The sequence below is a fragment of the Homo sapiens genome, chromosome 1 (assembly GCF_000001405.40).
Source record: "Homo sapiens chromosome 1, GRCh38.p14 Primary Assembly".
Taxonomy (NCBI): Eukaryota; Metazoa; Chordata; class Mammalia; order Primates; family Hominidae; genus Homo; species Homo sapiens.
This window is the reverse complement of record NC_000001.11, coordinates 193467992-193492701: the sequence shown is the minus strand read 5'-3', so window position 1 is coordinate 193492701 and position 24710 is coordinate 193467992. Positions and strand designations below refer to the sequence as shown.

The 24710-nt window shown below is 37.8% G+C and overlaps 1 long non-coding RNA gene across 1 annotated transcript in view; it reads right to left on the bottom strand.

Annotated features, from left to right (window-relative positions):
• LOC124904475 (uncharacterized) overlaps positions 1-24710 on the bottom strand; it is a 765263-nt gene that overhangs the window by 726846 nt on the left and 13707 nt on the right. The window contains exon 3 of the long non-coding RNA XR_007066777.1: positions 19326-24331. This is a non-coding gene — a long non-coding RNA (uncharacterized LOC124904475). The remainder of the gene's footprint in view (positions 1-19325; positions 24332-24710) is intronic.

Genomic DNA, 24710 nt, shown 5'->3' with positions numbered 1-24710 from the left:
AGTCTGATGTTTGAGGGCAGAAAGCATCCAGCATAGGAGAAAGATGAAGGCCAGAAGACTCAGCAAGTCTAGTTCTTCCATGTTCTTCTGCCTGCTTTATCCTAGCCACGCTGGCAGTATTTAGATGGTGCCCACCCAGACTAAGGGTGGGTCTGGGTCTCCCAGTTCACTGACTTAAATGTTAATCTCCTTTGACAGCCCCCTCACAGACACACCCAGGAACAATACTTTGCATCCTTCAATCCAATCAAGTTGACAATCAATATTAACCATCACACTTGGGAATGTGAATTTTTTAATAAATACCCCAAGTAATTACAATGCATATATCTGAGAACTGTGTTTTGAGAAACACTTCAATGAAGGAGAAAAGGAAACAAAAATGCAAACTTGACTTTCAGTGGAACTAGAGTATAGATAAAACCCCAAACCTCAAATATACACGAAAGGGCTGCCAAAAACAGTAGAGATGAACTTATATGTCTGAAGATGTGAAATGGAGAGCAGAGACAGAGCTTAGTAAATCAAACCAAGATTTACTTAGTATGTGTAGCAAATCTTAATTCTCCTTGAACCTTTCAGATTCAAGAGGCAGTCACCAGCGTCCATGTCTTGAACCTGAAAGGACATATGTCAACGTACAAAAATTTCAGTCCGTTTTCACAAAGGAAGAGCAGGGTACACAAGTAAGTACCACAAGCTTCACTGGACTGGATATGGCTCTGAGAAGCAGAGGTGATAAAGCTCCCTAGATGAGCTGTTTGTAAATAGTGGCTGCCATCGTGAAAAGAAAATAGTAGTAAAAAGTTTACCAACTGTCTGTTTACTTTGCCTTGGGAAAAATAAAGTTTAAACAAACTCACACAGAAAAAAAAAATGCTGGATGATAAAAATTCCATCTAGTCTGTAACATGGTCTTGCCCCTCACCCACCCCCCAACTTAATCATCCTGCAACAACCAGTATGGGAAAAATTTCTCTCTTTCAAAGATGAGTAATCAAAAAGAAAGCAAAACAGGAAAAATAAGATCTACAGAAAGGATTGCAAGAAAAAAAAGAAACAAGAAAAGCATATAGAAAAATAACCCTCACCAGAAACCTTTGGCCCTGAGGCAGATAAATATTGTCAAACTTTTTACCATGAATACTTAAAACCTAAAAAAAATGGCTCTGTAAAACAAGAACACAATGCAGAGATGAAAAAGCTCAGTGTAGAGATAGAGGAAAAATTAGGATGAGATGAAACATGACTAGCAGAATTTGATAATTTGGTGGTGGGGGTGACAAGGAAGGTAGTACTGTAGTGGAACCATGAGAGAAGTAAACACAAAATTATAAGGATTATATATGGAGAAGGACAGAGCTGAAAATGCAGAAGGAAATACAAAGAGAAATGAAGTGAATAAAATGAAATAAATCTTTTAAAAGAATTATAAGTAAAATGACAGTTGCAGAGAAAAGGCATATGTATAACTTGCTATCCAAAGGGGGAAAGTGAAATGATAGAGCACGACACTTATTTAGAAACGTAATTTTAAAAAAAATCCTGAAATGAAAAACATTAAAAGGGGACATCAGGTCTCAAGGAAAACTAACCAGAACCATAAATACCAGGAATAATCTAGCAAACTTCTGTAGTTCAAGGATAATGAAGAATCATTTGAGCTTCCAAGCAAAAAAATGATCAAGTTATCTATGAGGATAATAAAAATCAGACAAGGCCTCAGTCTTTTCCAGATATATTCCACTTTAGAAAACAATGGGACAATTCACACAAATTCCTGAAGCAAGAACCAATATTGTTAAAATGGCCATACTGCCCAAAGCAATCTATGGATTCAACACCATTCCTATCAAACTACCAATATCAAAAAGAACAAAGCCAGTGGCATCGTATAACCCAACTTCAAACTATACTATAAGGCTACAGTAACCAAAACAGCATGGTACTGGTTCAAAAACAAATAAACCAATGAAACAGAATCAAGAACCCAGAAATTAAGCTGCACACTTCCAGCCATCTGATCTTTGACAAGTCAACAAAAATAAGCAATAGGGAAGGGACTCCCTATTCAATCGATGGTGCTGAGATAGCTGGCTGGCCATATGCAGAATGAAACACAAGACTCATTACAAGTATTAGCAATAACAATAAAAATATTAATGAGACCTAACTCATTCTTAAAACTAAGGGCATGTAACTATGATTGTGAATTAGTGCGATACAGAAGAGTGCAATCCTATAGCAGCCATATCCTTTCCCACAACTACCTCCTGAAAACCAACCATGCCACTCCTTTCTCCCTGATACTGAACAAAATCTCAAGTAAAACCTAAAGTTATTCTGGTTACTATTGAATAACAAAAAGTTACACCTAGTCTCAAGGACATTCTCAGTACAGCATTATTTTAAAAGTGTCATGTAATAGTTAAAATTGTAAACTTCATTTAAAGGTAAGCTTCTTCCACCTGCTTTACTGTCTACTTTGAGGCAGAGGCCAACAATGGCAAAGGGAACAGCAAGTTGTGCCTCTATTTCCAAGGCTTGGGCTTCTCCTTCACACTTTAGAACCAACTGTGGTTTCTGACCCCTCTAGAATGAGCATTGGAGATGGAGATGAAGGGTAAGGAATAGAGATACAGGAGAACCCTGTTCCTCACACTGGGCAATTTTCCAGTTCTCTTCAGACACCAACTGGGGGGTCCAACAGTAAGAGTTCAGTCCTAGAAGACCATCTCACCACTTCAAATGCCAGTCACAAGTAGTGGGTCCCCAGGTTACTCACACTTTTGTCTGAATGGCTACAAATCAGGGTTCTCCACAACCCCCCCCCCCAAGTTTGATAATTTGCTATGACAGCTCACAAAATTCAAGGGAACATTTTCCTTACTATTAATGGCTTACCATAAAAAAAAAATATTACAAAGGATCCAATCGAAGAGCCAAATGATAAGGAACATAACTTGAAGAAGGGTCCCAAACGCAGGAGCTTCTGTCCTCATGGAGTTTTGGGGGTACCAACCTCCAGCCATGTGGATGTGTTCACCAACCTGGAAGGTGTCCAAATCCCTTCATTTAGGGCTTATATGGAGGTTCAAGAGGTTGAGAGGTGGGTTGAAAGTTTCAACCCATTAATCATGCTTTGGTCTTTCTGGCAAAAAGCTGTATCCTAATTGTCTAGGAACCCCAGCCACCAGTCATTCATTAGCACACAAAAAGATACACATTACTCTGGAGATTCCAAGGGTCTTAGAATCTCTTCTGTCAGGAACCATGGACTAAGACCAACTATTAAAACAAAAGATGCTTCTATCATTCCATCACACCAGGGTTTTAGCAGCTGTTTCAGGAACTGGAGGACAGAGACCAAATATATGTTTCTTTTTATATCACAGTGGCACAGCTCTCTCTGGGCTTAAATGGTATTTAAAGCTGACATTCTCTGATGGTGCACATTGTGAGTTTTTTGGAGACTTTCTCATCACTAGGATTCTCTCACCTGATTTTCCACTCATATAAGTAATGCCCCTTTGGCCAGGTGCTTACGATGTCACCTTGCCCTACCATTTGTCCCTTCTTTTGGACAATGTTCCTTTAAAAATGGCCCTAGGCCAATATCTTTGCCATGCCAGAGTGGCACTGTATAGCAGTGGGTCTGAATGTTTCCTATTAAAGTGGACTTCATATTCAAAAACTGAAATTTCAGACCTCTGTTGAGAGATTTTCTGAAGGTTTTACTTTTAAGATTCCAACACCTGAAAGCTTTTAGTTTGCTGGAGATGAGGCAGGAAAGATTGCTTAAAGGGGATGTCCACCAGTCATCAGTAGCAGGAGGCTGTAGGGCCTTTGGGGGTAGAAGCTGGGAGGATGGAAGACATCTCTCATGTCAAAGAAGTAATCCAGTGGGGAAGCCTACAGGACCCTCAAAGTAATTTATACATGTGACCCACAGTTGGGTACTAGCCATACAAAGGCTCTCAATGGACACCAAGTTATCCAGGGACCAGTTACACAAGATGGTCTCTGCCTCCCAATTTACCCCCTCCATGTACATTGTATACACAAATGAGAAATTAGCAGGAAGCAAAATATGTTCCTAACCAAGCAACACCCAGTTCCCACATGCTAAAGTTGGAGGAGAAATAACAAAACAGCCCATGTGGCCAAGGTCCCCCAGTCAATGGGGACAATCAGACAATAATACCCGTCATAAACACATACAACACTTATATGCCAGGCACTATTCTGAGTGCCTTATGTGGATTAACTAATTTCATCCCCACAAAAACTTTAAGAAGTAAATACTATAGTCTTTACATAATAAGAAACTGAGGACAGAGACTTTAGGGCCCTTACCCAAGTTCACACAGTTAAAACATTCTAGCTCTGGCTTAGGAGTCCATGATCTTAAAAACTACCCTCTACTAATTAAAAAGTCTAAGTTCTGAATAGGCAGGACTAGGAATTTATTAACTAAAAAAGGTGGGGTGGAGGGTGGGGACAAGGAAACTTGCCAAGATATCCTTCAGAGATGGGGCGCTGGTGGGGGAGATTTGATGAGGGGCTGTGAATGTCGAAGAATCATCTCATACTGAGGAGAGACTGTTCAGATCAAGTCATGTCTCAGCCTAGACAGCAAATGGGCAAAATGAGTATACCTACTTTGCTCATCATCCCGACAATTGCAGTCCAGTTTTGGAGCTCTCAACCACAGTCCTGAACTTACTGGGCCACAGCCAGCCTCTGTGTGCCAAATGCAGGCCTGAATCTCCACCTGCAGCCTGTTCTTGGGCCCCCTTCTTGTGATGACAGCTATTCCCATCCCAACTACATCTCCTAAAATTAGACTGCAACCGATCACCTAGACTCCAACCGATTGCTTTTCATCTCTCTCTGGAGCCCAATTTCCTCCATGCTATGTCTAATTTCAAGGTCTTGCCTTCCCCAAAGCTGTTCTATCCTATCCTAAAGTTCTCATACCTATCATTTTTGTATCACCATTTTTTTCTTTTCAACCCGAAAATTTTTTGATCTACTACTTATCAGTCTATGCTATAAAAGCAACAGAGAGCTAGAAGTTAAGACAAATTTAGAGGTAGAAGAGATGACTCAGTCTAAATCCCAGCTCTGGAATGCAGAATTTGTGAGCAGTAAATAAGGGCTCCCAAAAGACCCTCAAGATTTGATATGTTAGGCAGACACCACAATTCCCTGAGTTTTTATGGTTATATCAGAAGCAAATTTCCCCTAAGTACTTGATGTGCCTTCGAGCCTCTAACACATAAGACCACCCAGTCCCTCAAAATTCTCAGGTTGTATTAACACAGAAAGTATTTTTAAAAATGAATCCCCCCAGCTGACATGAACATACCAAAGCATGCATGCACACAGTGTTTACTTTTTTCAGTAATAGTATGTGCTGGGAAAACTTTACAGGAATTACAGCTTATTTACTGCTGCTTGAAACAGAGAAAAGCCTTGTCATGTCTTCTTAGAAAGGCACCCCTTGAGATACTACTGAAATTGGCTTCTCTGTTTCAAAACACTCTTCTGAGATGCTCAGTCCCATACCCCTTCCTTCCAATATCCTTTGTTAGAAGCCTGAAGTCAGTATGTGGTTCCCAATTCAGGACATGCTTGCAGTGTTTGAATTTGCATAAGCACATCAGGAAGTCTTTCCTGTAAGGACACGTACTGGCCTCATGTCATACTTTCATAAATACAACACTAAAAATGTTTTCCTGCAGTGCAGATACAGCCCTGTCCATTAGAAAACAGGTCATTTGGCCACCCTACTGAGCTGCCCCACAACCAGGAAGAAGGTAGAAATGACTCAGCATTTAACATGGACTAAAATGGTCCAGAAATCTGTTTTTCAAAATGAATGCCAGTACACTGATAGCTATGCTTAGACTTTACACAATACCTACAGATAAGTACATTCATTCTGGAGCTACCAACTAGAGCCAAGTAACTTAAAATGTGTTATGCATCAGGTATGTGGTATTTCACTTTCCAAATATTAAGTTAGATGTTTCATCATAAATCAGACATTAAAATAAACAAATTGGTAATATCGCATTAATTGTAACACAGTAAATATTGAACACTACATCCCCAGCTAACAGTAATTAGTGTTGCCAATTAGCAGAGATTTTAGCTTTGCAGTTTTGCTAAGTAACTACCATTTCTTAGGCTCCAAACTGAGGGAGGGGGGGAAGTAGACCGTGCTATGCCTATGAGAATTGAGTCAGTGAGGAAGATAATTTGCCTTTATATATTCACAGCGGGTTCTGATCTATTGAAATCAAGAAAAATTCTTGCACTGCTTGTCTCATGTGATCTTTATGCCATGCAATGGATAGTTTCCCCTATCATAAGCTATCAAAGACACAACTTTTATAAGATTATTTCCAGTATGACATAACTTGGCATATGACATGTAGGGCATATAAATAAATGTTCGTATACAGGGAACTGTTGCTCCTCTAGATTTTAAATAATTTTCACAAATATGCATTTATATTTTATAATATCCCTTAAAAAATTGTCTTCTTCTGAAAACATATGCGCATCAAGAGGAAGAAATATTTTCTTGGGAAAAATATCTATGTTCTTTGCCCATTTTTTAAATTGGTTATTTTGCTATTGAGTTGTACAAGTTCCATGTGTATTTTAGATATTAACCCCTTATTGGCTATACAGTTTGCAGATATTCTCTTCTAATCTATAGGCTGCCTTCTCATATTGTTGTTTCCTTTGCTATGCCACAATGTTTTAGTTGCATTTAGTCCCACTCTTTTTTGCCTTTGTTGCCTGTACTTTTAGTGTCATATCAAAATATCAATGCCAACATCAGTGTCATAGAGTTTTTCCCCTATGTCTTCTTCTAAGTTTTATGGCTCCAGTTTTTAAGTCTTTAATCCATTGTTAGTTTCTTTGTATGTATGGTGAAATCAGATTTTTTTTGGCACGTGGATATCCAGTTTCACCAATGCCATTTATTGAAGAGACTATCTTTTCCCTGTGGCATATTCTTGCCGGCTTTGTCAGAGATTAGATGACAATATATGCATGAGTTTATTTCTGGGATCGCTATTCTGTCCCATTGGTCTATGTGTCTGTTTTTACTCTGGTACCATATTGTTTTGATTACTACAGTTTTGTAATATAATTTGAAGTCAGGAAGTATGATGCCTATAGCTTTGTTCTTGCTCAAGATTGTGTTACCTATTCCAGGTCTTTTGTGGTTCCATATGAATTTTAGAATTGTTTTTTATATTTCTGTAAAAAATTCCATTGGAATTCTGACAGGGATTGCACTGAATATGTAGATTGCTTTGGGCAGCACGGACACATACAAATGACCAACAGGTAAATGAAAAGTTGCTCAACATTACTAATTATCAGGGATAAGCAGAGAAAAATCACAATGAGATACCACCTCACATATGATGGCTATTATCAAAGTCAAAAGATAGGTGTTAAGGATGTAAAGAAAAGGGAACCCTTATACATTGTTGGTGGAAATGTAAATTGGTTCAGTCATTATGGAAAACAGTATGAAGATTCATTGAAAAATTAAAATGCAACTAACATATGATCCAGCAATCCCACTTCTTGGTATATAATCACGCATGACTTAACAACAGAAATACATTGAGATGTGCTTCCTTAGACAATTTTGTCACATGAATGTCATTGAGTATGCTTACACAAACCTAGATTCTATAGGCTACTACACACCTAGGCTGCAGACCTGAATAGCATGTTACTGTAAAAAATACTGTAGGCAATCACAACATAATGGTAAGCGTTTGTGTATCTAAACATATTTAAACATAGAGAAGGTACCATAAACATGTGGTATGATTTTATGGGACCATCATCATATGTGCATCATATACATAAAAGAAATAAAATCACTATCTCAAAGATAATTCACATTCATTACAGCACATTCATTACAGCACTATTTGCAACAGCCAAGATATGGAAACAACCCAAGTATCCATCAGTGAATGCATGGATAAATTGTGGTGTGTATACACAATTTGCCTATGCATTCGTTGATGGATACTTGGGTTGTTTCCATATCTTCCACATGTAAGTCTATGATATATGTCTCTCATATATACATACACAAAATAGGATACGTATATTTTGTGTATACACAAATTATTCAACCTTTAAAAAGCAAACAATTTTCGGCCAGGTGCAGTGGCTCATGCCTGTAATTCCAGCACTTTGGGAAGCCTAGGCGGGCAGATCACGAGGTCAGGAGATCGAGACCATCCTGGCTAACACGATGAAACCCCGTCTCTACTGAAAATACAAAAAATTAGCCGGGCATGGTGGTGGGCGCCTGTAGTCCCAGCTACTCGGGAGGCTGAGGCAGGAGAATGGCATGAACCCGGGAGGCAGACCTTGCAGTGAGCCAAGATCACGCCACTGTACTCCAGCCTGGGTGACAGAGTGAGACTCCATCTCAAAAAAAAAAAAAAAAAAAAAAAGAAGAAACAATTTTCATTTGTAACATGGATGAACCTGAAGAATATTATGCAAAGTGACATAAGCCAAACACAGAAAGACATATTGCATGATTCATTTATATGTGAATTCTTAAAAAGTTGAACTCATAGATATAGCATAGAAGGTCAGGGAGGGAGATGTTGGTCAAAGAATACAAACTTGTAGTTATAAGACCATGCTAGTGTGAATACTGCTGCGATGAACATACATGTGCATGTGTCTTTAAAATAGAATGATTTATATTACTTTGGGTACTTACCCAGTAATGCGATTGCTAGGTCAAATATTTCTGGATGGGCTAAAGAAAATGTGGTACAGATATACCAGGGGATATCATGCAACCATGAAAAAGGAAAAGATTAAGTCCTTTACAGGGATACGGATGGAGCTGGAGGCCACTATTCTTAGCAAACTAATACAGGAAAAAAAATACCGCATGTTCTCACTCCTAAGTGGGAGCTAAATGACGAGAACACACGTGCACAGAGGGGAATCACACACTGGGGCCTTTCAGAGGGAGAGCATCAGGAAAAAATCATTAATGGGTACTGGGCTTAATATCTGGGTGATGAAATAATCTGTACAATAAACCCCCATGACACAAGTTTATCTGTGTAACAACCTGCACTTGTACCCCTGAACTTAAAAGTTAAAAAAAATTAAAAACAAAATTTGACTAATATAAAAAGACTAATATGCTCTGGAGGCCTAATGTATAGCATGGTGACTGTAGTTAACCTATACTTTAAATGTGATGAGATATGAGAGCAGTTCTCATCACAAAAAAAAGGTAACTGAAGTGAATATGTTAATTTGATTGTAGGAGCTAAAATATTTTATATGTATAATATGTAGAAAGTTATTTTACTCTTATCAGGTAAATAAGCAACAAATCTAAGATTAACTTATTCTATTATTTGAAGGTCACTACAGTTCCAGTAACTTTACCAGGCAAACAATGAAATAACTTAAGAGAAGTTGTCTGTTTGGATAAAGTGAATATAGCCATGCCTAAATACAGTACTACCTATTAAACGCATTCCTCAAGGCATATGAAGCTTATTCTAATAAGTTTATAATTCTAGGTTATAATTATGTATATTTAATGTACTCGGTTCATTCTCAACTAATTTGTAGTTCATGATCTAAACAGGCAAGAAGCCCTTAGAACACATTAAACACATTGTACCCACCTCCATGGCAAAAGGAGTGAGTGCTTGTACATGTCTCTCCCTACAAGTCCTCCCTCCCACCAGAAGACAAACGGAAAGCTGCTCCAACTCCAAGGAGCTTTCAGAGGTGACCTTGTTAGAACAGGGATTTAGAACCCCCACCCCCACCACACAATGTTTCATCTCTTTCACACAGAGAGACTTACAGGTGAGCATCCATGTCTGAAGAAAGTTTCCAAAGCCAAAACGGGTTCATAAGCACTTCAGGTGGCATAGTCAACTGTTCGCTGAGCATTACTACTTCCATCGTTTCCTTCACCCTTTGTTTCCTTTTACCCCCTCCTCTCCTCACCATAAACTGGAGTCAGGTAATTACACTTAGAGATAAATCAAATGCCTGACCCTCAAGTCCTCTGCCCTTCTCCCTCTACCAGGATGGCTTGCTGCTCTATCTTACTACCTGCCTGGATGGCAGACTTGCATTTCCGAGGTCACAATTCTTATTCATAGTGAGAAAATTCAAAGATAAATCAATGGTACAAACACAACATTTGGTCAAACCTAAATTCAGTGTTCAAAGGACAAAGAGATTTTAAAGTCATTCTATTTTCCTTTGTATTACTAAAGAAAATGTTCAATTGCTGATACATATTAAGATACCCGACTCTTGTGTTTGACATTAAAGCATTTTCTTAAAAAATTGTCCCTTTCAAGCAAAATTTCATTAGATTGATTAAACATCCCTTCAGAGGGTCAGCATGCCTGTGTTAGTAGCAGTATAAGACAATATAGGAATAGGCTAAGAGCTTAAAATACATATATTTTTCCCAATACTTTGTATATAATGAGGTGTGAGAGAGAAGTTATTTTAAATGTATGACTAGAATTATAAACTTATCAGAATAAGCTTCACATGCCTTTGACCATGTTTAAAAAAATTCTAACTGGGTAGCCATTAGACCCGGGTGGCTCTAGCACTTTAAATTCCTATGTGAACAAAACAAAGCCCAAGGTAAACAGCAAATTAAAGAAATTGTACGAGTCAGAAATCAACTAACCTCTAACCAGGAACTTTCCACTCTAACCAATCAACACTGTTCTTTGCCTTGCTTCTGCAACCTCTTTACAGTAGCCCCCTCTTATCCAGTTTTGCTTTTCGTGGTTTGTTACCTTCAGTGAACTGTGGTCTGAAAATATTAATATTTTGAGAGAGACCATATTTATAAAACTGGTTTAATAGTATATGGTCATGATTGTTCTATTTTAGTTATTAATCTCTTACTGTGACTAATTTATTAAACATTATAAGTATGTATCCATTAAAAAACATGGTGTATATCATAAGGTTTGTTACTACCCTTGGTTTCAGACATCCATTGGGTGTCTCGGAATTTATTCCCCGTGAATAAAGGGAGAATACTGTATAAAAGTTGCCCATTTTACCCCTCCCAACAGAGCTGCTTGCAGATTGATGCCACCCCAATTCAGGAGTCACTGAATGCTCAAATAAGTGCTTCAAAATTTTAATGTGCTTAAGTTTGTTTTTAATCAACCAGAATAACACAGTTTGGATTGCATTATAATGTGTGGTATTGTGAACAAAACTGACATTTCTGAGTAGGAAGTATGAGACACAGATTCACAATTACTCCATATATAAACTTTTAAAAAGTTGAACATACTAGACATGTTAACTAAAGTTTCAGATTGAACTGAGACTTGAGATCTAGCATTTAAGATCATTACTATTTCCTATAGAGCATCAAATAAAAACTCAGATTACGAGAATTTCTACCTTAAATTTTTAAAGAAAGAGCTCTAAGATGAGGAAATAAATTACAAGTGATGGAAACCCTTTGCCTGAGGACCAGATTATTTCTTTAAAAAATAATGTATGACTTCTGTATTTAGTAAGCCCAGGAGTGGTAGATCAAGGGGCTCCATATGCCACAGAGACAGCTTATCTCTCCCCTCTTCTATGTGCTTATTATACTTCAACTGGGCTTTCCCAACAAGGTGAGAAAGATGTTAATGACAACTTCAAGCTCCACAGATTACCAGTTCAGCAGCCTCAGTAGAGGGAGGACACCTTTTCCTGACACATTCAGTAAATATCCACGGAGGACTCTGATTTAGCCAGGCCAGGAGTTGGAGGTGGCCCTGTGCTATCCAAACCACATGGACCAAGACCCAGCAAGGTTATAATCTTCCAGAGAGAAATCAGGTCCTGCTACCAAACAGGCAAAGATAGCAGATTTCCCCCACAATTCCTAGATATCAAAACAATAACATGAAAATTCTAAATGATTGAAACCAGTCTTTATGGCTGGCTTTTGTCATCTATCACAAAGAACAGAAGCTTCATTCAGCCACACAGCAGAATACACAGAAATCTACTTTTTTAAATGGCTTTATTAACAATTTACATCCCATAAAATTCACTCATTTAAGGTATACAGTTAAATGGTTTTTAGTATATTTACAGAGTTGGACAACCATCACCACAATCAATTTTAGACCATTTTCATCATGCAAAAAAGAAACCCTGTACCCATTAGCAATCTCTTCCATCTCCTATCTCCCCCACTCCTTGCAGCCTATGGCAAGAATGAATATATTTTGTCGTTGATGTACAAAATATTGCACCTGCTTAATGTATACAACTTGATACAACTTCACATATGTACCCACCCATGAAACCATCACCACAATCAAGATAATAAACATTCATCACTTCCAAACATTTCTAAATGCCCTTGTTTTTTGTTGTTTTTGTTTGGAGGGTTTTTGTGCTAAAAATAACATGAGATCAACCCTCTTAAAAATTTTAAGTGAACAATATTGTTAACTATAGGCACTGTGATATACAGCACATCTCTAGAACTTATTCATCTGGTATAACTAAAAATTTATATCTATTGAACAACTCCCGATTTCCTCCTTTCCCCAGCCATTGCTAAACACCATTCTATTCTGTTTCTATGTGATTATTTAGTTAACTCCATAAATGGGAAAATACTAATCTTACCTTCTCATACCTCAAATGGGGCAAAGATTTAGGAAGGTTCTCACAACTAGGGCTGCAAATCTGAGTGGCCCATCCACAAGAATTAAATAGGAAATTATCTGAAGAATTTAATTGACTATTAATTATAATTTACAATTGCCCAAAGACATTTCTTCTCTTGTGCCTTTAGCTGTAAATTACATTATTTAACATATATTGTTATTTCCTTTTGTACCTATTTTACGACAACCATTATGCTTGATTCATCATTTTTCCCTTATGTAGTGCTGTGTAGTATAATATCTTGGAGCTTATGATTTAATAAATATTGATCTCCCTTGGTCTTTATTATGCTAAGAAAAAGAGACCTGGTTCTCTTTTTCAGGTTATCATTAGGCTTGTGAAATGTGATATACAAAGTGGTTTAGAGCCTTGAAATGCAGTCAGGAAGCCATTCTAAGAACTACCTGCGTGACCTGAAACCTTGCAAAACAGGAACTTGTCTTTAACATTTGAACTGGGTCACACCGCCATGACCACAACATCCTGGAAAACAGCCGAATTTCACCAATGCTGCAACTCCTAAACAGTGACAACCAATGAACTGTGGACTCATGTACTAAACCAACCACTGTCACCAGTGATATCTTTCAAAACAACTTGTGATTACCTTCAGCATCCTTTTACAAATCTGTACCATCCTACCTCTCTTCAGAACACAGTTTAGTTTCTAGCTCAGTCTGTCCCTCAAATTGCAATTCCTAAGACCCCAAGAAATGCCTTATCTTACTGCATTGCAGTCTAGTCTTCACCTCTTCCTAGTTGACAGGCTCCACAATAAGATAAACTATGTGAGGAAAGAAGCAAGCTTTGTCAATACAGTCAAATTGACATTTCTAAGAATTATATAAGTTTTCCCCAGAAAAATACAGTGACTTCTCTTCAATTCACACATTTGTTTCTTGAAATTTTGGGGACCACTTACAAAAGTTTAATGCAATCTTACATATTTTGGATAAGTCACTTTATAACATTGGGATCAAAATGCCTACTATAGTTATTTTCTATAAGTGGTTTCCATTAAGATAACTACTTTAACAAATACTAAATTTTATTATATTACTTTAATTACATTACTTTATTAAATACTAAACTTTATTATACCACATTAACTTTCTTTCCAGTAAAATATTACATAGAGTAAGAATTTATATAGATAAGTAGTCATAGATATAATGTTTAAAAATACCTTTTGATATGTCATAGGAAACATTGCTTTTAGCTTCTTCTTCCCCTTACCAAATAGTACCACTTATTACAGTCCTGTGCACTGTTCTGCACCAATAAGTTGAGCCGTTGACAAATGCAATTGGATTATTAAAAATCTTGTTTTCCCTTGATTATATTACAATCTGCAACCCATGACTCTCCATATGGTATTAAAATAAGTTTGATTAGAATTCTAAGGGTAACAGTAAGTGAATCACATTATTATTTCCAAACACATCACTGGTATGAATGAGAGTTAAACACTAACGTATACTTTTAAAACATTATCAACAAATTCCCCCAGTAAACAGCCAAACACCACAGAAAACCAGAATTAATCCTACTATCCAAAATTGTTCTGTGCAAAAATGAAACAAGAATACAATCGACTTCTGATTTGACCCTTATTAAAGTAATGCAGCATATTACAGTGGGATATTCTAATGGGCAAGAGAAAAAAAACAAGTCAGTTTTTTGAAACACACTATTCCATATGGCTTTTCCAAGGAAGTCCTAAATTTGAAGAGAGCATCCTGTTCATTTACATGGTTTCCAACACATTTAAGTTGTATAAAGGAATACCCTAAGGAAGCTTTTCAAGTTTGTAAACCAAGCACTTTGCCTTTACCTTTATTTGCTCCCACCAAAATGCTAACGATATCATCTGAAATTTCCTGCATCCCAAGGCATATGTGTACTAATATTCATTTTACACAAGTAGTTACTACATAGACCATGTGTACTGAAAAGCCTAAAATATTTACTATCTGGCCATTTACAGAAAAAGTGTACCAACCCCCATCCCAAACTAAAGCTAAAGACTTTAAGATCCTCCCTGCTTCATTGCTTTGTTAAATGCTGGCTCAGTCTGTTACTGGATAGTCAAAGTTTCAGATTTAAATTCTGCAGCTGAAATTTACCTCTTAAAAAATCAATCTCCTGTCATCTCTCATAAATTGATACAATTCTTACAAAAAATATGTTTGCACACAGCCCTTCCCTCTTCTGTATTGTAAACCTACCTTTCAGGTACCCTATCATGTAGGTCTCACCTGACTTTTATAAGGAAGGTATACATCTGCCTTGGAGCTATCACAGCTGTTTCCAATTAGCTATCTGACTAAATGATTAGACAACCACACATTTTAAAGTCTATTTTTCATCTATGTAGCTTGTAAATAAAGCTCTAAATTTTAGTCTCTAATCTCAGTTGAATAGAAACCAATTCATGTTGGCCCCATGAAAGAAGCAGGTCTGGGGGCCAACAAACCCTTAAAAGACAAGTGGTCAGCACTAAAACCTCTAAGGGATTGAGGTAGCCCATTGGAAAGAAAAATTTGGAATAGCTATTGATAATCTTTCCATTTATTCCCTTCATTTGAGCACTTGAAAAACTCCTACAGCTGCCTGCCCATCATCTTTCTACTTCCCCTCTTTCTTCCTTTTCTTTTTATTTTTTTTCTTTATCTCCTGGAAGAAAAAAGTGGAACCAGATCTCAGACAGTAAAGAAGCAGAAAGCAAGAGAAAAAATAACTAGTTTAGCTCCTTCTGGGCTTCCACCCTGTATTAGTCTATTTTCACGCTGCTGATAAAGACATACCGAGACTGGGTAATTTATAATGAAAAAGTGGTTCAACAGACTCACAGTTCAGTGTGGCTAGGGAGGCCTCACAATCATGGTGGAAGGCAAAAGTCATGTGTTACATGGCAGCAGACAAAAGAGAAATGAGAACCAAGTGAAAGGGATTCCCCCCTACAAAACCATCAGGTCTCGTGAGACTTATTCACTACCATGAGAACAGTATGGGGAAAACCGCCCCCATGATTCAGTTATCTCCCACCACGTCCCTCCCACAACACGTGGGAATTATGGGAGCTACAATTCAAGATGATAATTGAGTGGGGACACAGCCAAACCCTATCACACCTTAACCCCATATTCTATGTAAAAAGCTTACACTGCCATCTATAAATTATAAATTCAACATGAAATAACATCACAAAAAGCAAAATGTCTGAGACATTAGCCTCATGGATTATGTAGTCTAATACAAAGCCTAAAGACTAACACACAGAAGCAATTAGGTCCAAACCTGTTCATACTGTTTTCAAACTTGAAAGTTAATAAATATGGAAAAATCCTGAACTATAGTTTAAGGATGTTGTCAGTATTCAGATTATAGTTTGGGTCAGGACAGGAAAAAAAAAGTAAAAGGGGATATAGTATATAAAGAATATTCCAGAAAAATCATTGAAAATGCAGCAAGATCTTCGGGAGAAATTACATTTTTCTCTAGCAATAAGACTGTCTTTGAATCTTAGATAAAATTTTTTCCACACAGCAAAGGGAATAGAAGTTGGATACTGACACCCATGAGAAATAACAGTAGAAACAATCTTTGCATCCAAAGGAAAAAGACAAATAAATGAATAAAGCTTTGAAGCATAAAGACCCGAGGCTCCTTCTTGTCCATGTCTCATTATACTTCTCTAACCCTCTGAAATAAAGTAGCCCTGATTAAAAACAGTAGTTAAAAGAGCATCAGAGAGGAAAGGCAGGAAGATGGAAGGAGGAAAGAGAAAAGATGGGGAGGAGGACAGGGAGAATATAATGTGAAATATGAGCAAGAATAAGCTAGACAGTGAAAGAGCAGTAGACGGGAAGCTGGCTGGAAAGCGGACTTGGGAAACAACTCCAGTAGAAAGGGTAAAAGAATGGAAGTGTAGACAGTGGGTGAGACACCACACTGGTGAGGCATGGAAGAAGAGGCAGGAAGGAAAAGCACAAGAACCAAGGAACAAATGGAGGGATCCTACTGAATAAAAGATAACTGAGGAACTGAGAACCTGTGAAGAATTATTCACCAGAAGGAAGCCAGGTTGAGGAAGCAGAAGCAAAGATGGAAGAGAAGATTAGGCTAAAAGCAGAGAGCTACAAAATACTGGTTAGTGTTTAAGATACCACTAGAAATTTGAAACCATGGTAAAATTGTCTATGGGTGTGTTTTTAAAAATTCTAAAGAGGAAAGGGATAAACTAAATTTTAAGAACCTAGATTCTGGTGGGAGGATTGTAGCCAGCTGAAAGCTGAGATACAAATTGTGAAAACTTTGGGGAGTTCATGGAGAAAGCCATCTTTCAACATAACTGGCTGTTCAAGACCAATGACAGGGCAGAGGATCATCAAATGTTGAGAATAGTGTTCTTTTAACATGCTCTAGGGTACAAAGCATATTAACTCATCATTTCACCTGCAAGGGAAAGAGAATAAAAAGCTGCATTGTGTTACTGTGTGCCCCACACAAAGTAGAAACTCATTAAATATTTATCAATAGAATGAACTCTTTTAATGTTGTGAGACAAATATCTTGGATTAAAGTACATTTGAAATCCCAGTCAGTCTTAAGAAACAACTAAGTCTAAGGCTGTAACAAAAAAATGTATATATGAACTAAGATCTAAAAATAGACTGCTATTTGTTGAATTCCCACTGCATATAAGATTCTAAGCATTTTACATATTTTCTCATTTAAACATACAGCATACCTGCAAGATGGATGTTATTTTCTCCAATAAGCAGTTTAGGACATTAAAGCTCAAATAATTTTTGTGGGTTACCCACTGGCCAATATGGACCACTGAATGGATCATGTCTACCAGAATATAAACCCCACAAGGACAAGGGTTTTGGTCTATTTTGTTCTCTACTGTTTCCTCTAAGAAAAAAAAAATGCCTGATGCAAGGAAGAAACTGAACAAACATTTTTTGAATGAATAAATGCCTATTTATGATGAGACAGCTGAATATGACCATGGAAAAAAATGTCAATCTTGCCAACTAGTCTCCTTTCAAATTCATGATGATTAACCTCAAAAGTGGGCTCCTCCTTAATATAGTGACCCAGGTTCATTCAGTCCATTTTTATATATAGTATTTAAAACCATGAGTCGGGATGATATCACTTCAAAGTGACTATAAAGAAAAAAAAAGCCAATATTTACATACCTGGGAGATAAGAAAAACCCAGAAAAATGAGAAAGAGGTGCTAGTGAGTCAGGGTAAGATCCAAGAGAATGTGGTGTCCTAGAAGCAGAGAGAGGGGCATATTTCAAAAAGAAGAGAATTGGCCAGTTTCCCTAGGAAATAGACTTCAAGACTGAGCAGAAGGTTTACTAGGGAGTGCTCTCAGGATCAGCTCCAGTAAGGAACTGGGAAACACAGGGGAGTGCAGCGGGAGAACTGAGATACAATGGCAACAGGATCTGGAGCCAACACAATAGGGACCCAAGAGGCTGTAATAGGCCTGTAGAGATCCCCCTACCTTGAAGCAAGAGGCCTGCATACCTGTCATTAGATGCAGCTGGTCTTGAGGCTGCACCTGATATTCATCACCACATACCTTTCTCCATTAACTAGATTCACTTCACCCTTGGAGATGATCTAAAATTATTCTCCTGACCACCAGACCAATAATTAAAGTCAAGTCACAATAGTACCTGGTCAGAAAAGCGCTGGGCCTGCTAAAAGAGGAAAGTGACTTTGCATAAAAGGAGCTGCAGGACTTAGCAACGTGTTTACTCTTCCACACACCTGGAACCACGTGCCCTAGTAACTTTCCTCCTTAATACTAATTTGTGTCTAGTCTACACCATTGCCATACTGCACACCCATACAACTTCCTCTGTAAACCCTCCCTTAAAAGCTTGTGCCATCAGACACTACCACCGATTCCACCTCCTTGTAGCTGTTATATCCAGAGCCTCTCAATGGGGACTCCAAAGTTTTTGAGGATTTTAGCTTCTGGGTTCAGTATTATTCTTTCCAACACTATTTTGGTCCTAATTTTTGGTGAGTTCAATGTCCACAAAGACAATCCTTGCAATACGTTTGCATTTCACTTGCTTGACCTCCTGTCTTCCAATAAGCCTGTTGTTTACTCTTCCCCATCCCCTCATTTACATCTTTATATCCTGGAGTTTGTTATCAATACCTATAACTAAGACAGTATCCCCTCTATGTCAGTTAAGATTCAGAGAAACAGAAGCACTAAAGATTAGCCAGATTAGATGATAGATTAACAGGGATTGAACCATACAGACTTGAGAGAGCCGGCTACTCATTCTCTGTAAGGCTTTTTTGTCTTCAAGTCAGATGCTGCAGCCTGAAGTCCACAAAGCATATAGTTAAAAAGGGAGGCTGGAAATAAAGTAGAGAAAAGTAAGGACAACTGGAAACCTGTGAGGACAGACTGGAACCCAACCAGTCTCTCACTGCCTCCAACCTTGATAACATGGGCATCCTGCAGAAAAAGTTAGTGTACCTCATTAGGGAGCAAACACTCACCCAGCCTTGGAGTTGGAGAAGCTGAAGAAACATCTAGAGGTGGTGGCAGGCTGAGCTGCTGCCCCATAGCCATCAAATGAGCCAGCAGAGAAGCAACAACATATGTGAGCTACAAAAGTATCCTGCCCAACATTTTGAGCATAAAAACAAAATGGCTGCTACTTCACAACCACCCTCCCTAAATAGAAACAGGCAGGGAAGGAATTCTGGGGGAAAAAAAAAAAAAAAAGTTCAGCTGGGCCAAATTGCCACATCACAAAACTGTTGTCTTCTGCATGATTTAATTTCAAGTATTGCACTCTCTGGCAACCCAGCTCCTATCTTACCAGCTCACTTCCTGTAGAACTTTGGCCCAACAGTTCTTTGACCCCACTGGAACCAACAATCCATTGATGTTTACAAAGTCTCTCAGAGTCGCCATAGCCTCAGTTTCGTCTGTACCCAGGTTATTATTATAATCATTCTCATTGATTATAATAAATGCCTAGTCCAATTTCCTCTCTCTACCCTTATCATGTTCACCTGATAAAACCTCGCCACCCATATTTAAATTCAACTCTCCACTTTTTGTCTGTATCTGCACAGCTGGAACATTTTGGGGCAAAAACCACACAACCATTCTAACTGGCCTTATTTTAAGTTCATAAAGTATGTTAAGTTTATTCACCTCAAGTGAACTCAGTACTCTTCAGCACCCTACTGTATTTCCCTTGTCCGTTCTAGGATACTCACAGATGTACCATCTCACACTTTCTCCATGCCATACCTTTGATGCAAACCTCAAACACATCCACCCCCTTTTCATTCTCAGCTCATGACCTTGCTACCTGTTTGTATCAGTTATAGGTTGCTGCATAATAAATCACACTAAAACATAGTGGCTTAAAAACAAAAACTGTCTTATTTAGATCACCGCTTTGGGGCTTGATAATTTGGGCTGGGCTTACCTTTCCTCAGGTGGGTCCAATTATACGTGTGGGCCTCATGTGGACCTCAATAAAGACAATTAAGATGATGAAGGCAGCTGAGACCTCTCCCCACATGAATTTTCTTTCTTCATCAGGATTCCCAGCATGAAAGTGGAAGCTGAAAGGCTTCTTAAGTCTAAAGTTAGAACTAACACAACACTTCTGCTGCATCCTGTTGTACGGAGATCATCACAGGGCCAGCTTAAAGGGCAGTGGAAATAGACTTAAGCTCTTGATGAGAGGCCAATCTGTGGCTACATTTACAGTCTACCACAATGATTAGTCACAGTAGGGCCATTGTATCACCAATAAGGAAAGAAAATAAAGAAAAATAGAACAGGAAGCAAACACTGTATTTTTAAATCCATTTTATCAATGTTCTCATATACGTTCAGGTTGTAAATATTCAATATTTGTGCTATTGCTTTTACCTTAAATATTGATTGAATCACATATTAAATGGTCTATGTTAGGGGATCAACAAACACTGGTCCACAGGCTTAATTCAGACTGTAATTAAAGTTTTTGTAAATGAAGTTTTATTGCAATACAGACATGCTCCTTTTATTTATGTATTGTTTATGACTGTGTTCACACTACAACAGTGGAGTTCAGTAGTCGCGAGAGAGATTGTATGGCCTGCAAAGCCTAAAATACTCTTTGGCCTTTTGCAGAAAAGAAAACATTGTCAACTCCTGCTTGATGGCATCATTTTTCCATCTCTGAAGTAAGCCAATTTTTTTACAGAATTGTAACAGACATATGGCCCATTACTCAAATCCCATTGGTTTATGCCAAAGAGCTGCCCCAACAAAGGCACAGCTTACAGACTCACCTGTTAATGTTCTAAGAAATTTCTTCGATAGGCTGTCAGATTCTACCACATACAATGAAATATTTATTCCACGTAACAATAAAATTAAAAATCACTGCAAAGGACCAGTACAGCCACTTCTTCAAATGACACTAAAACTTAAGTAATGCAAAAGAAACCATCTTTTACTTAATCTGTGATATCAAATCATTAATCAACATGGAAGAGTAAAATTTAAATATGGTTCTTAAACATTATTGTACTTCAGAGTCATTTGGGGAGGTTGTTAAAGGACTGACTTGTAGGCCCCATTCCTCAAAGATTGTAATTCAGTAAGTTTGAAGGATGGCCTGGAAACTGCATTTTTAAGAAGCATTACATTAATTTTGATGTTCACGGTTTAAAGACTTCACTTTAAGAAACTCTGAACTAAATGGCGTTAGAAACCAGAAATAAATGGGGCTTGGTTAACCATTACTTTTATTTCTTTACTTTCAAGAGAAAAATAAAAAGCATAGTATGTATTCTCATAGGTTAATAAGTAAATAGTAATACATCATTTCCTTAGGATTTTCACTAGAATTTCATTAAAAAGCCATTTTGGGGCACTTTAGATTCTATTTCAAAAGGTTACTTTGTGGCCGGGCACGGTGGCTCACGCCTGTAATCCTAGCACTTTGGGAGGCTGAGGCGGGTGGATCACTTCAGGTCAGGAGTTCAAAACCAGCCTGGCCAACATGGTGAAACCTGATCTCTACTAAAAATACAAAAAAATTAGCCAGGCATGGTGGTGGGTGCCTGTAATACCAGCAACTCGGGAGGCTGAGGCAGAAGAACACTTGAACCCAGGAGGCAGAGGTTGCGATGAGCTGAGGTTGCACCACTGCACTCCAGCCTGGGTGACAGAGCAAGACTCCATCTCAAAAAAAAAAAAAAATGTTACTTTGCTTAATCTCCCTTATGCTCTTCCTGACAATATGAATTAACTCTTTATTTTATCAATATTTTAAAATTATTAAAACTACTGGACTTTATTTGGCATTCTGGAAGGCACTCCTCTATTTTCACACTCTTTCCTTAAAATCCTATTTCAATACTATTTGCTAAAATTTTTCATTAAGAAAAGCAGTGTAATGTAACAGAAAGAGAATTGAAATTAAAAGACACAGATGTGACTCACCTAATATGTGTATGCGATCTCAAAGCAAAATTTTTACATGTAACATGAATAGATGATACCAAATACTTTTTGCCATATCTTACAAATTTGGCAATCTGTGATAGTCTGCTTTTTATATTTATGTCAAGAAAGGCTTTAAAGATCAATTACAAGTGTTTACATGTAATTCTTATTTGGAGAATAAACACCAATGAAAAAAGTTCTCCTCTTGCCAAAAATATTGGGCCTATCTTTAGTAGGCACCTCGATTTAAAAAAAATAGGGACTTTAAATTGACACCAATAGGAGGAAATGGTATTCTTTTTTCCTTTTAAATCCATGAATACATGTAAAGTTACATTTCATTACAATTTCAATTTTATATGACTGCATCATTGGAATGTTGCTAGTGAAATTTGATGATAGTTTAGGGCTTCAGTTCACCTATGAATAACCGAGATGCCTTAGCTGAATGAATTCTTATTCCATGTCTACTATTTTGCTCGAACCATAAATAACGTTCAGGCAGAGTTATGTGGAAGAAAATGAAAAATTTCGTGCAGTCCTTTTGATAGCACAGATTTGGAAGTCCCAAACTTGTTCCCTTTTTTGCATTTATATAGCCCCTTAAATGTAACTTAAATCCCATAAAAATTGGAAGCATTGAATTGATGCCTGGGAAAACCCCAAAAGAATGGAACTCAGAATGAGGCACAGAAGAAAAACAATACTGCTGTGATAATGATTTTATAAGCAAAGTCAATTGCTTTTCATTGTTTTGTTTTTTTTTCTTCTGATTGTGTGGCCATGTGCATATATGCAACAAGAAACCCAGTGATTTTCAGCAAAGACATCAAATAGCTTACATGTCAAAGAGACAAAGCAATGATAGGCCCTCAAAAGTGGGGATAAATGAGAAGCCAGGGCTTTCTGAGCAAGGCGTCCTTGAATAAATGTACCAACAGTAACAGTAGGAGTGGCAGCTTCAAACGTGTATATAGTGCTTGTTAGGTAGTAGGCACTAAATATTCTACCCACTTTACTTCATTTAATTTGCACAAAACATAGAACCCCTTGGGGAAAGTATTATATTCCAGTTTTAGCGATGAGAAAACTCAGTGTTGGGGTTAAGACTTTTGGTCACAATTCCACTGTTAGAAAGACGCAGAGTCAAAATACAAATGCAAATCTGGGGTTTGACCTGAAAGCTATCTTCTCCACTCAGCTAAGTAATGACTTAATTTCTTTTAGAGGATTTGCTTCTTATCTCCCCACTCGCTAACTCAATCTCCTACCCTCTCCATGTACCCAGTGCCTGATTTCTGAACTGTTTCTATTAATATTAAAAGCCCATCAGGACTCCTTAAACGTAGCATGTGCTTAACAAACGGTTGTTCTTTCCTTTTCCTCCCCACTATCAATAATTACTCTTCAGTCGTGGCTCAGCTCTCTGTTGTCTGAAGTGGGAGCTACATAGCTAAAAACATATTCCCACTAAAAAATGAATAATGAAAACTCGTATTAATGTACTGTCTTGGTGCATTTTAACATATGATTCGTGAAAACATAGTGCTAGCCTATGGATTCATTCCAGATTCTGTGACAGGCCAATGGTAGAGATATCTAGGGGTAGGAAGAAGTTGGGGTGACCAACCATTCCAGTTTGCCCCCAACTGAAAGATTTCCTAGAACACGAGACTTTCAGTGCTAAAAGCAGACTGTTCCAGGCAAAGGGGGTCCACTGCTATGGTTTGAATGCTTGTTCCTTCCAAAATTCATGTTAACATTTAATGTCCAATGTAATAGTATTGGGAAGTAGGACCTTTAAGAGGTGATTAGGTCATGAGGGCGCTACCTTCATGGGCAAGCTTAATGCTTTTTTAAAGAGGACTTTCAGGAGTGAGTTTCTCTTTCTTGCTCTTCCACTCTTCTGCCATGTGAGGAATGGCGTTCCCTGCCTCTGGAGGATGCAGCATTCAAGGCACCATCTTGGAAGTGGAGACTCAGTCCTCACTAGACTCCAACTCTTTCAGTTCCTTGATCTTAGGCTTCCCAGCTTCCAGAACTGTGAGAAAAACATTTCTATTTTTTACCCAGTCTTAGGCATTCTGTTATGGTAGCACAAAATGGACTAGAAAAATAACCCTATCCTAACTCTTCTGAAAGTACTCCAGTAATATTCCCTTAGGGTTGGTCTACTAGTACAGAAAGGCCATACATTGTTTTATTCACTCCAACTCACATACATAACCATTAGTTGGGGAGACACTTTGAGAAAGATGGATGATAATATAAAAATGTGAAGCAAAGGAAAAGTATATAACCCCCAAACATGCTTTTAATATCACTAATCTAATTTCACCTTGAAATACTCAAGAGAACCCTGGCTATACTCATGAGGCCTCTATACAATTACATTATGTAGTAAGATTACGTTTTTCCAT